This window comes from Homo sapiens, chromosome 4 (assembly GCF_000001405.40).
Source record: "Homo sapiens chromosome 4, GRCh38.p14 Primary Assembly".
Lineage (NCBI taxonomy): Eukaryota > Metazoa > Chordata > Mammalia > Primates > Hominidae > Homo > Homo sapiens.
In genome coordinates this window covers 67879857-67896167 of record NC_000004.12, presented here as the reverse complement: position 1 = coordinate 67896167, position 16311 = coordinate 67879857, and the positions used below count along the sequence as shown (strand labels likewise).

The following is a 16311-nucleotide window of genomic DNA, read 5'->3' as shown; positions in this document are numbered from 1 at the left end:
GGACCAATCAGCTCTCTGTAAAACAGACCAATCAGCTCTCTGTAAAATGGACCAATCAGCAGGATGTGGGTGGGGCCAGATAAGAGAATAAAGGCAGTCTGCCCCAACCAGCAGTGGCAACCCGCTCTGGTAACCTTCCACAGTGTGGGAGGTGTTTTGTTTTGCCCTTTGCAATAAATCTTGCTGCCGTTCACTCTTTGGGTTCACACTTCCTTTATGAGCTGTAACACTTACTGGGAAGGTCTGCAGCTTCACTCCTGAGCCAGCGAGACCACAAACCCACCAGAGAGAAGAAACTCCGAACACATGTGAACATCAGAAGGAACAAATTCTGGACACGCGGCCTTTAAGAACTGTAACACTCACCGCGAGGGTCCACAGCTTCGTTCTTGAATTCAGTGAGACCAAGAACCCACCAATTCCGGACACAATAGGAAATAACTATTTCTGGAAACATTATGAGTCCAGATCATTTTAGAAAAAAAAAATTGTATATAATGTTTTCCATTCTTCCATGGTTATTTTTCACTTCAAGTTTCCTACTTCTTTAATGAATTTCAATAATTTTTATGTTTCATAAAATTATTTTCTTAAGATTCACTATTTTTATCATAGTTTCACATAATGTTAGCATTTCTTATCTCGTGTGTTACATTGTTTTTCTCATTTTTAAAATGTTGCATTTTTGTGTACTTTTTATCAATACAAATTGTACTTCTTATCTGTATTAATGTTGTTGCTCTGGACTTCTACCTATACTGTGTCTGTGTAGTAATCTGCTGTTTTTGTTCTTCCTCTTACCCTTAACTTTTTTTTTGTTTTAGTTATGTATCTGCTAATGCATAGTTATCTGCTAACTGCATCTTCTTTTAAAAACCATTAGAAGAATTATTGTCTCTTACTATTTCTGTTGAAACAATTCATGTATATTGGCAAAATCAACATTATATTTCTATTACATTTCTTTCTACCATTTATTTTTTATATTTTCTTGAGAACTTCCTAATCATCTATATTTTATTCCCCCAATACACACTCATCCTCAGAGCAACTGAAACCTTAGTAAATATTTCCAGGTACTTCCCTCCCTTGGTGGGAGACTTTTTACTACTTATCATTTACTATTATTATTTGTTAGAGTCTAATCACTCTATTTTAAACAGACAAATGCTTCCTTTAAAACATCTAAAAACAAAAGGCAACAAAACAGTTTTTATGTCAAAACTTAATGTAATTTTATCTTCCACACTTCTTGTTCTTCCTCTCCAGCGAAGCAGCATCTTTGCCAGAGGCCTGGTTTGTGTTCCTATTAGGTTCCTAAAAGGGGAACTCACCATAAGAATTCATACCATGGTTTCTAAGGCCCTTAAACTACAACACTGCACAGTTACAGATATTTTTTTCCAAAATAACTACTTTAAAATATTACCATATAGCTACATCAATACACAATAAGACAATGTCTCTGACTTTTAAAAGATTATAATTGATTTCCTTCCACTATATTATACAGCCTTATTACTGCTCAAGAATTCCTTTAAGATGAAAAGATAGGTATAAATGTTATGACACTGGAAAAAAAATCAACTCTATGTCACACTCAAATTATACTTAGTCATAACCTGAAAAGAACATATTTCATAGCAGAAAACAAAGCAAAACAAACAAAAAACCTGTGACTTCTTTGGAATTTGTCTCTACATGTTAAAAAAGTGAAAATAATTTATTTATTTCACTTCCAAATGAGCAGGACAATATATTTTTAATGACTTACAACAACCACAATGAAAGGCCTGGCGCGGTGGCTCACGCCTGTAATCCCAGCACTTTGGGAGGCCGAGGTGGGCGGATCACAAGGTCAGGAGATCCAGACCATCTGGGCTAACGTGGTGAAACCCCGTCTCTACCAAAAAATACAAAAAATTAGCCGGGCGTCGTGGCAGGCGCCTGTAGTCCCAGCTACTCGGGAGGCTGAGACAGGAGACTGGAGTGAACCCAGGAGGCAGAGCTTGCAGTGAGCGGAGATCGCGCCACTGCACTCCAGCGTGGGCGACAGAGTGAGACTCCATCTCAAAAAAAAAAAATTAGTTATTTAAAAAAAATCTCTGGGAGACAAGGGAGGCTCCCTTCAATTGTAAGGTATCTACACAGTTAGAATGTTTCCAACAACCCAGTTAGTGCTGTTGGCTAAGGCCCTCTAGGCAGGCAAGACAAACCCATACCTGGAATAGATTTCTATTCCTGTGAGAAGAAATGGCTGGTCCTTCCAGGATAGAAGGCATTCCATATAGCTAACTTGCCACTGACTGTCCAGTTGGCCCCCTTGAGTAACAGAGCTATCCAGTAGGTGTAGTGTTTATGTTGACGACAGGTTGGCATTCTGAGGAGGCATTTGTTACATCGTTGTTGGTAAGTGGGAGTCCTTACTGTTGGGCCTAGGCAGGACCTCCATCTTGCCCACTGTGGCCATATCATTTGTGTGCCTATCCTGCCAGCACTTAATGATACTGCTCTAAGGTGACTTTGCCAGTTTGCCTAGGATTGAGGAGGTTTCCAGGATGCTATACTTTCCATTTCAAAGCCTGGATTGTCCCAGGCAAAATGAGACAAACTGATCCCCTACTAGTGCCCCTCTCACCAGCATATTCCTAATGGTCTTCATTTATTATCTGGACTTTCCCAGGGGATATAATTTTCTAATGGGTCTTCTGGCATCACATAATATTATACATTACACCATGTCCATTTCTCTGAATCCTTTAATCCCTTCCCCTACTGCCTCCCATAACAATCCTAGCATTTCAACCTTGCTCAGCATGGGCCATCACTTTTTCCAGACTCCTAAGAGCCACTCCAACAGCAAGTTTACACCATTCCCTGGGCACCGTGTCAGGTGTTAAATCCTGTATACTGAGAGACTACTCCCAAATTAACAAAACTTTCCTTATCCAGTCTTATGTTCCAATCCCCTTGACCAAGCACCCTCAAGATCCATTCCCACAGAGGGCACTCCTACAGTCTCTGCTGCTGCCTGCTGGCTACTTTATGCAGCACCTTTGGGATGTAGATTCTTTCCTCCCTCTTCAGGCCTGACACATTCCCAGCTGGTAATGATAATAACCAGCTTAACTTTGATAGGCCCGGTGACCAGGAGAGGAGAGGCACACAGCTCCTAATTTGTGAGCTATTGCCTTGTGGGGAAAAGGCCTCCCCAGTATCTCTTCACAGTGCCAGCTCTCGTTGAAGAAAGTGGGGCCACTTCTGCAAGGCCATGGGTTCAAAAGAAGTCTGCAGAGTCAAAACCTTCAAGGACATCTAGCTAGATGTCCACATCCCATGCATCAGGTCCCAGGTTTTCTTAACTAGAGCCTTGACTTCGGAAGAGCAGATCTATTTCAATTGAGCATTTAACCATCATTGAAATTCAGCCACTCTATCCAACTCTGTGCTTGGTATTCATCTTTTCCTGCTCACCCACTAATAAGGTTAGGGCTTCTTAATAATCTACCAAAAGGAGTCTCTGGATCACATACTCAGCTTTTTCAATTATGTTCATTGTCCTCAGCTTTTCCTTATCTACCCGTTGGGCATAAAACAACCAAGTAGCAACCATGCAATTTCATCTCGTTATGTTTATCACCCCAGCCCCCATACCTTTCAATATGTGAATCATCACACTGGCTTGTGCATTCACCTCTACTAGCATGCTGGCCTACCTCACTACTAATGAAAATTTCAACAGACTACCACCTCTTGTTAGAGGTTGCCAGCTTGCCACCTACCTCATTTCCAGTTGGGTAGTGAATAATCCAGTCCCTAAATCTCATCTTGATGCCTGTTTTCCTGGAGTTGTCTTGGTATCAGCTATTACAAGCTGGGTTTCAGCACAGCAAATACTTACACAAAGTTAAAGTACAAAAGTTTATTGAAAAGTAACACCTGTTAAAGAAGAAGGAAAGAAGCAGGACTGGGCAGGGGCAGCTGTCAGACAGCAGTGACAATCTGACAAAATTTCTCCCAGGCCAACAGGGAACTCTGAAATAAATACTACTTGTTAGAGAAATCCATATTGAGTGGAAATAGCTAGACTCTTGTATCATCACCTTGCTCAATCATTGGCTTGGGGGCCACTGGGAAAAGAACATGTTCTTGGCTTGAAAGCTGAGGAAGGCCCTGACAAACCTATCAGTTAGACTGTCAGGTTGTACTAAGCATGTCCTTTTTTTTCTGATGCTTTCACATCTGCAGCCTTATTGACCCTGGAGGGACTGCCCCACCCAGGGCTAACTAATTCCTAAAGATAGTAAATGACTGCTTAGGACTAGCCTGTCACATGCAAGCCAACCCTTACCACCTGCCTTATGGAGCCCTTATACTCCAAGCCACTATTAGGGCCTTGCCCTAATTACTCCAGGGCCAGGTATCATGCAACTAATGACAGCCCCTACACCTGAGAGCCCCTGAAATTATTCAAACTAGCCAATCCTAAGCCTGCTTACCTTATCCCACCTGTTCCTTACCACAGAAACAATGATAAAGGCTCTTCCTTATAGTACCTTTTTCACCCCTTTCCTTCTGAGTGACCCTGGTGCTTCACTGTGTGGCATGGTGTGCACCCTCCTCTTGGGAATTGTGAGTAACAAACTGTCTTTTCATTGACAATCTTCTCCTGATTGCTTAGCCTCACCATACCAAAATAAAAAACAAATCTACAGTTAAAAGACAGATACTCATACTCTTTGCAGTTAAGCACCAAGCTTTATCTTGAAGAAGGATCTGAAGGATATCTCCATGTCTGCTATAAGAGTGAATTTTGTAACAGCTGAAACACAGTTGCAGTATGCAGAAAGCAGTGACGTTTTATTTACTCACTGAATAATTCAAAAATTATTCAAATAAATTATTTGAGTAATTTATATAAATTATTTAAATTATTAAATGAATGATTAACCCCATGCCACATAGGGATGACAGGCTCTGAGAACATAGCAATCCTTTCTTTTGTGGACTCTATTGTCTACTGTGTAGACAAATTTCAAAAAAGTGTGCTGAGGCCAGGCACAGTGGCTCACTTCTATAATCCCAGCACTTTGGGAGGCCAAGGCAGGAGGATTGCTTGAGGCCAAAAGTTTAAGACCAACTTAGGCAATATAGCAAGACCCCATCTCTACCAAAAATTAAAATATTAGCTGAGCATGGTTGTGCACACCTGTAGTCCCAGCTACTAGGGAGGCCAAGGTGGGAAGATTGCTTGAGCCCAGGAGTTCAAGGCTACAGTGAGACACAATCATGCCAATGCACTCCTGCATAGGCAACGGAGTGAGACCCTGTCTCAAAATAAAATAAAATAAAAAAGTATACTGAGTGTTGTAATGAGTATAAGAGGAGAAGTAAACTGATGTTGGATCACACTGCAGAGGAACCAACCTACCCAAAGAGAAAAAGCCTACAAGTAGGCCTTAGTGATCATTCTGATTTCGGAACTAAGAAAAAAAATTATTGAAAGAGGTAGGAAAAGATAATCCAAGCTAAAGGAACAGAACTGGAAGGGATAGAGAGACAGCATATTAAAGTAACTAAAAGAAATTCAATGGATAGAGTGTAGAGTATCAGAGGTATGGTGGGAATAAGCATGAAAGGTGGGCAAGGGCCAGATACTACAGAGCGTTGCCACCCATGTTAAGGAGAACAGATTCTATCTTAAGTGTACGGGAAGCTATTGAAGAGTTTTTAAAAGAATAGTAACATAATTCAATTTGTAATCATCATTCTTGCAGCTGAGTAAACCAGAGTGGGAAAAGGATTAGAGGCAGAAGGGCTAATCAGAAGGCTGTGACAGTAATCAAGCTAATGATTACAGTGGCCTGGAGTCATGTGGTGGCAGTGAGGATGAGAGGGAAAGAAATTGGTTCAATAAATATTTATGTATATAGGGCACCAAGAAAAGAGATACAGTCAAGGATGACACCTTAGTTTGTTAGGTTTCTGGGATTCAAAACTGGGTGAATGGGAGTGGACTTGTGGAAATAGGGAATACTGGAGAAACAGGTTTAGAAAAACGAAAGAAGAAGACGTGAATACAGAGCACAATGAAAAGATTAGGCTCCCAAGGGATGAGAAAACCTCTTCTGCTAAAACAGGAAGAATATGGGCAGATGGGTACAGATCTGTAGACATGATAGCAGGAAGTGGAGGGAGTGTCCATCTGAAGGCTTCTCTTTTGTTTTTCCAATAGTAGAAAGGTAAGTCATCTGTTGAAAGCAAGTGCAGTGAATAAGGAATGGAAAATTCATACTGGGGAAGAGTAGAAAGATTTGAAATGGTTTTAATAAACCCTATGCTTGACATTGACCAGGGAAACCTAGCTGTATTGCTAGGCAGTATTGAAGGGCCAGCTAAGACCAATAGTCATAAATTTATAATGTAATAATTCTTAAAATAGATACTATGTAGTATCTATTTTAATACATAGTAGTATCTCTTTAATAACAGAGTTTATCAGCCAGACCCTCCAGTAGGTGAAATAATGTATGATGTTGCATACTAAATGTATTATATTTATGTGCTCTGATTGCTTTTCTCATTGTGGAGGAAAATTACAAGAGTAAAATTTGTGAATGCATGCAGGAAAGTGAAAATTACTCATCATATAAGAAAACAACTCTATGCAGCTCAAAGGGGACTGATGCAGAGAACTTAGGAGAGGGGTAAAGGATACACACTTCTTTCTTATTTTATTTTTTTTTTTCATTTCTTTTTTTTTTAATGTTTTTTTTTTATTATACTTTAAGTTTTAGGGTACATGTGCACATTGTGCAGGTTAGTTACATATGTATACATGTGCCATGCTGGTGCGCTGCACCCACTAACGTGTCATCTAGCATTAGGTATATCTCCCAATGCTATCCCTCCCCCCTCCCCCGACCCCACCACAGTCCCCAGAGTGTGATATTCCCCTTCCTGTGTCCATGTGATCTCATTGTTCAATTCCCACCTATGCGTGAGAATATGCGGTGTCTGGTTTTTTGTTCTTGCGATAGTTTACTGAGAATGATGGTTTCCAATTTCATCCATGTCCCTACAAAGGACATGAACTCATCATTTTTTATGGCTGCATAGTATTCCATGGTGTATATGTGCCACATTTTCTTAATCCAGTCTATCATTGTTGGACATTTGGGTTGGTTCCAAGTCTTTGCTATTGTGAATAATGCCGCAATAAACATACGTGTGCATGTGTCTTTATAGCAGCATGATTTATAGTCCTTTGGGTATATACCCAGTAATGGGATGGCTGGGTCAAATGGTATTTCTAGTTCTAGATCCCTGAGGAATCGCCACACTGACTTCCACAATGGTTGAACTAGTTTACAGTCCCACCAACAGTGTAAAAGTGTTCCTATTTCTCCACATCCTCTCCAGCACCTGTTTTTTCCTGACTTTTTAATGATTGCCATTCTAACTGGTGTGAGATGATATCTCATAGTGGTTTTGATTTGCATTTCTCTGATGGCCAGTGATGATGAGCATTTTTTCATGTGTCTTTTGGCTGCATAAATGTCTTCTTTTGAGAAGTGTCTGTTCATGTCCTTCGCCCACTTTTTGATGGGGTTGTTTGTTTTTTTCTTGTAAATTTGTTTGAGTTCATTGTAGATTCTGGATATTAGCCCTTTGTCAGATGAGTAGGTTGCGAAAATTTTCTCCCATGTTGTAGGTTGCCTGTTCACTCTGATGGTAGTTTCTTTTGCTGTGCAGAAGCTCTTTAGTTTAATTAGATCCCATTTGTCAATTTTGGCTTTTGTTGCCATTGCTTTTGGTGTTTTGGACATGAAGTCCTTGCCCACGCCTATGTCCTGAATGGTAATGCCTAGGTTTTCTTCTAGGGTTTTTATGGTTTTAGGTCTAACGTTTAAATCTTTAATCCATCTTGAATTGATTTTTGTATAAGGTGTAAGGAAGGGATCCAGTTTCAGCTTTCTACATATGGCTAGCCAGTTTTCCCAGCACCATTTATTAAATAGGGAATCCTTTCCCCATTGCTTGTTTTTCTCAGGTTTGTCAAAGATCAGATAGTTGTAGATATGCGGCATTATTTCTGAGGGCTCTGTTCTGTTCCATTGATCTATATCTCTGTTTTGGTACCAGTACCATGCATTGTCTCAGCCCAAAATCTCCTTAAGCTGATAAGCAACTTCAGCAAAGTCTCAGGATACAAAATCAATGTACAAAAATCACAAGCATTCTTATACACCAACAACAGACAAACAGAGAGCCAAATCATGAGTGAACTCCCATTCACAATTGCTTCAAAGAGAATAAAATACTTAGGAATCCAACTTACAAGGGACATAAAGGACCTCTTCAAGGAGAACTACAAACCACTGCTCAAGGAAATAAAAGAGGACACAAACAAATGGAAGAACATTCCATGCTCATGGGTAGGAAGAATCAATATCGTGAAAATGGCCATACTGCCCAAGGTAATTTACAGATTCAATGCCATCCCCATCAAGCTACCAATGACTTTCTTCACAGAATTGGAAAAAACTACTTTAAAGTTCATATGGAACCAAAAAAGAGCCCGCATCGCCAAGTCAATCCTAAGCCAAAAGAACAAAGCTGGAGGCATCACACTACCTGACTTCAAACTATACTACAAGGCTACAGTAACCACACTTCTTTCTTTAACAAGATTAAAGAATGCCTCTAGTCAAGATGTTTCTTTGGCCTCCTATGGTTAAGTGCAGGTAAAAAAAAATTACTTGTAGAAAACATAAGAAAATAACTGTCAACATGAAAGCCATCACAGGTTGTAATGAGTGTTGTATTTCTTAAACCATGTTTGTATGAATGCTTTAGGAATAAGACCAATTTGTAGAAGCAAAAGAACATGCCAATCTAAGCGGGGCGGGGGTGGGGGCAGTATTTTGGAAACATCCAGGACCAGTTTCAAATTGTATGAGCTCTCCCCTACACACACACACACAAACACACACACACACACACACACTGCCTTGGGAACAAGTACTCTACGAACTACTGAACATGACAAGTGCTTTACATTTATTAGTTCATTTGATTTGATTTGACTAAATGTAGTTTTTGCAACTCTATGAGAATGGTATTTTAACTCAATTTTTACATGTTAAAAAAACTCTCAGGCTTACAGAGATAAATAATTTTCCTGACCTTGCTGGGTAGTAAAGAGAAGAGTCAAGATTTTACTTAAAGTGTACTCTAACTCCAAGGAGAATACTGTTTCTACTACATCATGCCTTCTGAATAGACAAATGCCTTTGAAAAATGATAGAATGTACTTGTACCTTTGCCTCCAACTACCTGCATGTCATAAGCCACAAAATTATATTTAGCCACACTTGCAAAATCCAATTATTACCCAATTTTAAAATTTACATTTATAACAAATATAAATACTTGCATTTAAACAACATTTATAGCTTTCATATGGTGAGCACCTCCATTATCTTTTTTTTTTTTTTCTATTTTTACAGTAACTCTGTGAGGGAGGTCATGACGAATATATTGTCTACCATAGCCATATGACTGTGCTTTCCTGGACTTGACGACTAAACAAACTTCAAATTCAGAAAAACACTACTGGCCCACACCTTCTCAGGTCATCTGCTTTTTGGTTGTTTTTTTCTGCTAATATTGTTATGACGGTTACATTGAATGATTCATACTTCCTTCTAAACGAAGTGTGTTAATACACATTTGCAGGGAAATATGTCCAGAGTTTAAGATTTCATGGGTCTCTTAACCACACTCTCTCTCCATCAGCAGGCAAAAGAACCAATCTTAATAGTTCTTACATTGCATAGTTCATCTTCCAGAAATATAAATGATCTCTGCTATGTCCCTGAAAACTGTTCCTGTCATTCGTTCTCAGTCTAGCTGCCTTGGTTTTGTGACTGTTCAACCAGAAGAATAAAATCAGCCTGTAACCAGAAGGCAGAGGACTCTTATATTTTTTGTATAACGTGATTCTACATTTCTCATTCATGCAATCTCTTAAAAAGAGAATAGGTCAAGGCCTATCCTGCCACTCCCTGAGGATCTAAAGATGAAGAGTCAACATCTTTAAACTGGTCCCTGTTATGAACAATTCCTTTGCCTCACAAACCATAATTTCCTGCCCCACCTCCCTTTCTGCGTTGAGCTCATCATGCGGGAAGTCACTTTCAGACTGAATTCAATTTTCCCCATGCCTTTCCCCCGACTCATCCCCACGTTCTGTTGTGAATAGTAATAGGGCACTGGGATCTGCACTAATACGTTAATTATGAGACATCTAAACAACATATGATGAGTAAGTACCTACGTGGTAAAAAGGCCTTTGCTGCTGAGTATTCCAGGAAATAAAGACATACAAGAAAGAGCATGCATAATTAGAGAAAATTTCTGTAAGCAAAAAACAGAAAATAACACTTTAAATCCTAGTAAAAATTATTAAAACAAAAGTATAATTTTATAAGCCATTAAAATATTTAAATCACTTGGCTCAATAAGCCTCTTCAGTTTATTCTGAAGAAAAATTCAACTGTAGGATGACAAAGAAAAACTATGTTTGTGAAGGTGGTCATTCAAAGAATCATCTACAATAAAAAAATAGAAAATGTCTAAATACTTCACATTAGAAAATAACTTTGGTGCTTTATGATAAGTCCATTCAATGTAATGTGATTTACCTTTTAAAATGCAACCATTAAAACTGCTAATAATTAATGAATCTTGGTACCATATTTGTGTTTTAAATTATATAAAAATACAAAGTTATAAATATATAGCTACTAAAAATAAAAATTAGTAATAGCGATATATTTGTGAAATAATATTAAGTATAAAAAGCATAATACAAAATTATATACCATGATATAACTATATTTAAAGGTACTTGAAGTTAACATGTAAAATTTAAAAATGGTTTGTTTAGGTAACTTTATTTTTTAAACTTTTAAATCTTATTATAGTTATTTATTTATTGCTAAAAAATCAATGGCAGAATGTCAGGCATGAGATACTGTATGTAAAAAATATATTTCCCAAATATATTTGGGAAAAAACATATAAGTAACCACTTATTCCTGTCTCTGTTGTTTGATTTGCACATTATATAGAAAAAGTCAAGTAACTGAACACATCTGAAGTTGCAGTATTGGAGTAAATTTAACCATTAGTTGTCAGTGCTTTACAAGATGAAGTCATAGAATTTTATAATTGAGAGTCCTCTAAGACCTCCTGATTCAGCTTCCACTTTTCTTAGTAGATACATGTGACTTATGGAGAAATAAGTAAATTTTTTCCCTTAAGCTACACAATTAGTTGGTGAAAAAGCTAAGACTAGAATTCATATTGTACTACTAATAATATTGTAATAATTCTATTACAAGTTCCAATTCTTTAGCATTCATTAGTTCTCACAAAGTAACCCCAGTATAACCTTCCAAATTTATATCCTGCTTCTTTGCAATGTTAGACAGGAATGCCCTTTTTCCCCTCCCTGCTAGTCTTGCCTGTTTTCTTGAGCTCTCCATCCTTACCCTAACACCCTACACACTCATACTGTCTTCTTCTGTCTGCTCCTCTTCTAGTAGTAGTGTGTTAGAATAGCTTTTTCAAATGATCATATTTGGAAAAAAACAAAGTGGATTTTAGTTCCAACTATTCTGTTTGCTTGTCTTACTTTGTGCATCTACTCAATTATGCTCTGTTTCATATATTATGAGAAAAACTGCATTTAATCATACAGATGAGGGAATTCAGAGGTAGTGCCCATTAATGTACGGAAAGTATGTTCTGATGGATCTTGGCTGGCTGTGTTGAGGAATGAGGTGTATAACAATATGATAACATGAGCAAAATAAGTGTCAAATCCTCTTGAACTAAAAGTGACTCTACAGTTGTGAAGTAGTCACAGGCTTTCACAAAATACCTGTCAATTGTAATTGTGTTTAATCTCAATTTACCAGAATAAATAAATTTCTTACTAATTTGTGAAATTCCCTGTCTATTTCCAATTATCTTCCACAAGTCATACTATTGGTTTGTTGATTCCCTCAAACTTGTTTAACAAGTTAGATTTTAATTAACATGAGATTTCCTCCTTTGTCCTCAACTATAGATCACACGTAATACATGAGAGTCATTCATTTGAGTGGGAATCTCAAAGCAGTTGAGTAGGCAGAAAAAAGAACCTCTTCATTAAGGATTAAAATGTATAGGTAAGTCCTGTTTTTGTCTTTGTAGCTTTAAAAGTTTTACTATATCTTACAGTATGGGAAAAATATAAAGAAGCTTAGCAAATTTTGACTGTGTCTAGCAATCTTCTAGTTACTTCTCTGAAAACTTCATCGAAACTCTTAGATATTGTTTAGATAATATGCTTGATATTATTTTCATAAGGTACATAGTTGCTTAACTGAATTTTTTATAAAACAACCACAAAAATACTTAGCTTAGCGTTATGACAACATATCTTTAAATAAGGAAGTGGTTTTGTTTCTCATGTGCAACATTTCGAAAAGTGGTGTGTGGATTTTAAAATTGCAATCAGTAAACAATTCTTGTGTTGTTTGGAACTTTTCGAGGATTCTGTGTTTTGACTTCCATTACAGTTTTATTGCTAGCTATTAAATAAATATGCCATAAATCCTAAAGTACACTTTTAGAAAGTAAAGACGGTATTTTTCTACTTTTTATATAGTTGTAGAATTATTTTCAAGAAAGTTCTTGCTAACATTTAAGAGAAAATAATCTCTCTCTGGTTTTCTTTTTAGTTAATGAATAAGTATTTTCCTATACTTTCACATAAAGAAAGAAAAAAGTTGTGAGATAATCAAGTCACACGTTAACATCTCAAAACAATGAAATAATTATGTAACTTGGTATGTTTATGTGTGCACTTAAGTGTATATATTATGCATATTATTTTTCTATGACTACAGGAAAACATGATACTGATAAGTCATGCTGAAAGGATCAACAAAAGCATGAACAATGTGTTAGCTATAATAAGTGCAGCTGAATTTATTTTAAATCTCCTGAACATTGGAAAATTCAATCAAAAGTCAAACCATTTTAAGTAATAAAAATATATATACAGTTATATGCACTTGAATATATATATATGAGTGAAAAGTGGATAGCTGTCTAAGCTTCCAATGATAGAAGAAATAAAATCATTTCATATTCATGTAATAGATACAAGAAATGTATTAAAGTAGCTTAAAAACCTATGAAGTAATTTACATACTGAGTTTGTTCTTATTTTATGTGAAAAAAACAAATCACAAAATTGTATTTACTCATCAACTACTACTTTGTAAAGCTATACATGGGAGAAAGTCTAATAAAGAACATAGAACATTAATCAGGTTTGTTATACTAAAGCAGTGAGTTTATGAATTATATTTTTTATTGTTCTTAAACCATCTATAAGTGTAATATTATTTGGGTAATATAGTGCATTTTAAAATGTATTTTGCTGAAATATTTTAATTTTAAAGAAATTACTCTGATTTTAAAATATTGCCCTTATAAGCAGTCAAGTGTATATCAAAACATCATTCAATGGAAAATAATAAAAGAAGACATGTAAATGATACAAATCCTGAAAGAGTTGTACAATTTCAGAAGGCTTTGAATCAATCAAATTTCTAAGTTGATCCATCATTGTACAGGAAATTTGACACTCAATCAGAGCCAACCTTGCCAATTACAAATAACTCTTCTGTGGAATTTTGGTTTCTAAGGATCACACTTTTTGGAATATTTTATCTCTTTAATAGCCTGTATCTACTACTAATAAATAGCAGCTAGGTATTCATATCAAATAACAGAAGGAAAATTAAATTGTACAATATACTTTTTTTAGGTAATTGTAGGTAATTTTGGCATAATTTTAGATAAATCTTCAGGTAATTCTGAAATACTTTTGGTTGAAAATTGGCTGCCTTGGATGGTTTGATTGCTTTTTTTATAAAAAATTAAACTCCCAGCTCTCTTCCATGCTGCTGCAAGATGAAATGCTCCTTTCTTTATCTACCTTCTTCCCTTGTCTGAAGAAGGAAATCCTACCGTAGGGCCCAGGAACCTGAACAGCTGTGTTACTCATTTCAGATCCTTGGTCACTCTAGATTTTCTCAGGTTCACCAAGGGAATATCTGTGCCCACCAGATTACAGAAAACGTGTGAGATGAGGTTTGGGAAATAGGATAAAGATTTATAAACTGGAATTTGGAATGTAGTTTATGGAAAGATTTAAGGTAAATGAGCATATCTCAGCTCAGGGACAGACAAGTCTTAGCAGGACTCCTCCTACCAAACAAATCTTGTTTCCATTTTCTTCCCTTTTGTCTGTGCTCAAGACATGATTAACTGACTGCAGAGACATGCCAAAGACAATCAGATGCCCTGCCTCCCAACAGTCCAAAAGAACCTGAGACAAAAGTTGGCGGGGGGACGAGCCATCGCTGTCAAAAACGCATTCCAAATCCTGCCTGTTGTTTCAATCCTGGTTTTTGAACTGCTATAGGAACTCAGAAAAACATGCTTAAAATTGTAAATCATTAGGCAAAGAACATATTTCTTCATAGAAATTAGGCAGGTGGACACCAATTTGTATTTACAGTCATGAAGCCCAAAATAGTGCATTTCTAGTACAAGTTGTTGCCTATAAAATCTTGAGCCACATGCTAAAACAGCTGCTGCATTTGGCCCAAATGTTTTTCTAATGATGGTGTGGGACGGGCCTGCATACAGGAAGATCAGCTGCAGTCAGTCATCTGGGATTATATATTTTCTAGCAAATTATCCCATGCCACTGCCAACTTGTCTTCCAGAAGGCACTCCCAATCTATTTTCTCAGTAATTCATTGCTTACTTAACACACTACTGCAACTCCCAAATTGCTATGACTGGCACCCCTAAAATAAGTCATAAGGAAGGGATTCATTCAATATTTACTGCTGTAAGGGAACCTACAGTTATCCAATCCAATTTCTTAAAAGGTATTGCTCCCATTTGAAGGATCCCATTCTTTTGAGCAAAGAAGACTTGGCATGATTTCACAGTTTTGGGGAGTATTCCTTCTCTAGCTTTAGTATATGCTCATGACATGTAAAACAAAAGCACCATCCCAAATCTAAAGTCATTAATTGGATAACTGCCTAAGATAGTTGTAAATAAAAATGGACTTTGGAAAAGTTTATACTGATGAGTCATTCAGCAGAAAGAAAAAGCAGATTCTATGGAATATTTACAATATCCATTTGCCAGAGGTTTGAACAAGCGTATCAATGATTAATAAAATAATATATGCACTCAGGGCTCAAGACAGTGGAGCAATAAGTCATTGATGGGCATGGTGGTACAAGTATTCCCTGTATTCCCTGAAGGCCGAGGTAGGAGGATCACTTGGATCCAGAAGTTCAGTGTTGCAGTGAGCTATGATCATGCCACTGCACTCCAGCTGGGGTGACAGAGCAAAAACCTGTCTCAAAAAAAAAGATTAAAAATTATAAATAAATAAAAGCCACCGAGTATATTTTTCCTAAACTAGACAAGTTTTTATTCTGACAAGTTTACTTCTTAGCCAAGATATCTACCTGAATTTAATAGTGCAAGAATAAATTAAGATGTAATGTTTCCTTCTCTACTGAATATTTGTCAGCATAAAGACACGCCATACTATCCCCAATTAAAAAAAAATCCCTCCCTTGACCCATATCTCCTGTCCAGCTATTGTGTCATTTCTCATCTCCTGCTCTTAAAAGCAAAACTATTCTAAAGATCTGTCTAAACCTATTGCCTCTATTTTTATTTTCTTCCTCCATTCTCTCCTTTTGCTTTTTAATTTTTTATTATTAAACACATCACATTTAAAGTCTAATTTTAAAAAGTGAACCTCTTGGTACGAGACATCTATTAATAAAAATAGCATCACCAGTATCTTAGAAGACCCCATGGGCACCTCCTGTCTACGAACTGACCTTTCCCCACCTTTCACAATGTAACTGTTACGTGGCATGGTATCTTAATTTCTTTCATTTTCTTCATGGTTTCACCATTCACGGATATATTCCTAAAAAACTTATGGTTTAATTCTACCTGCCTTTGAAAGTCATATAAATGAGATCAATATTATATATGTTATATACAATAAAGTGTGCATAGCTTATTCATGTTCATAGCTGTATAATATTTCTTTGTAAGCCTGACCCATAACTTAAATATCGACTTTTCTAGTATATTGCCATTACAGATAATGTAGCACTGAATAGTCTTACACGG

The 16311-nt window shown here is 36.9% G+C and overlaps 1 protein-coding gene across 1 annotated transcript in view; it reads left to right on the top strand.

The window, feature by feature from the left end:
• The first annotated feature begins 12165 nt into the window (after positions 1–12165).
• The window catches only part of TMPRSS11D (transmembrane serine protease 11D), a 63127-nt gene continuing 58981 nt past the window's right edge, over positions 12166–16311 (top strand). Inside the window, exon 1 of the mRNA NM_004262.3 lies at positions 12166–12242. Within this exon, the coding sequence (NP_004253.1) occupies positions 12235–12242 (8 nt within the window). The 5' untranslated portion in view covers positions 12166–12234. The remainder of the gene's footprint in view (positions 12243–16311) is intronic.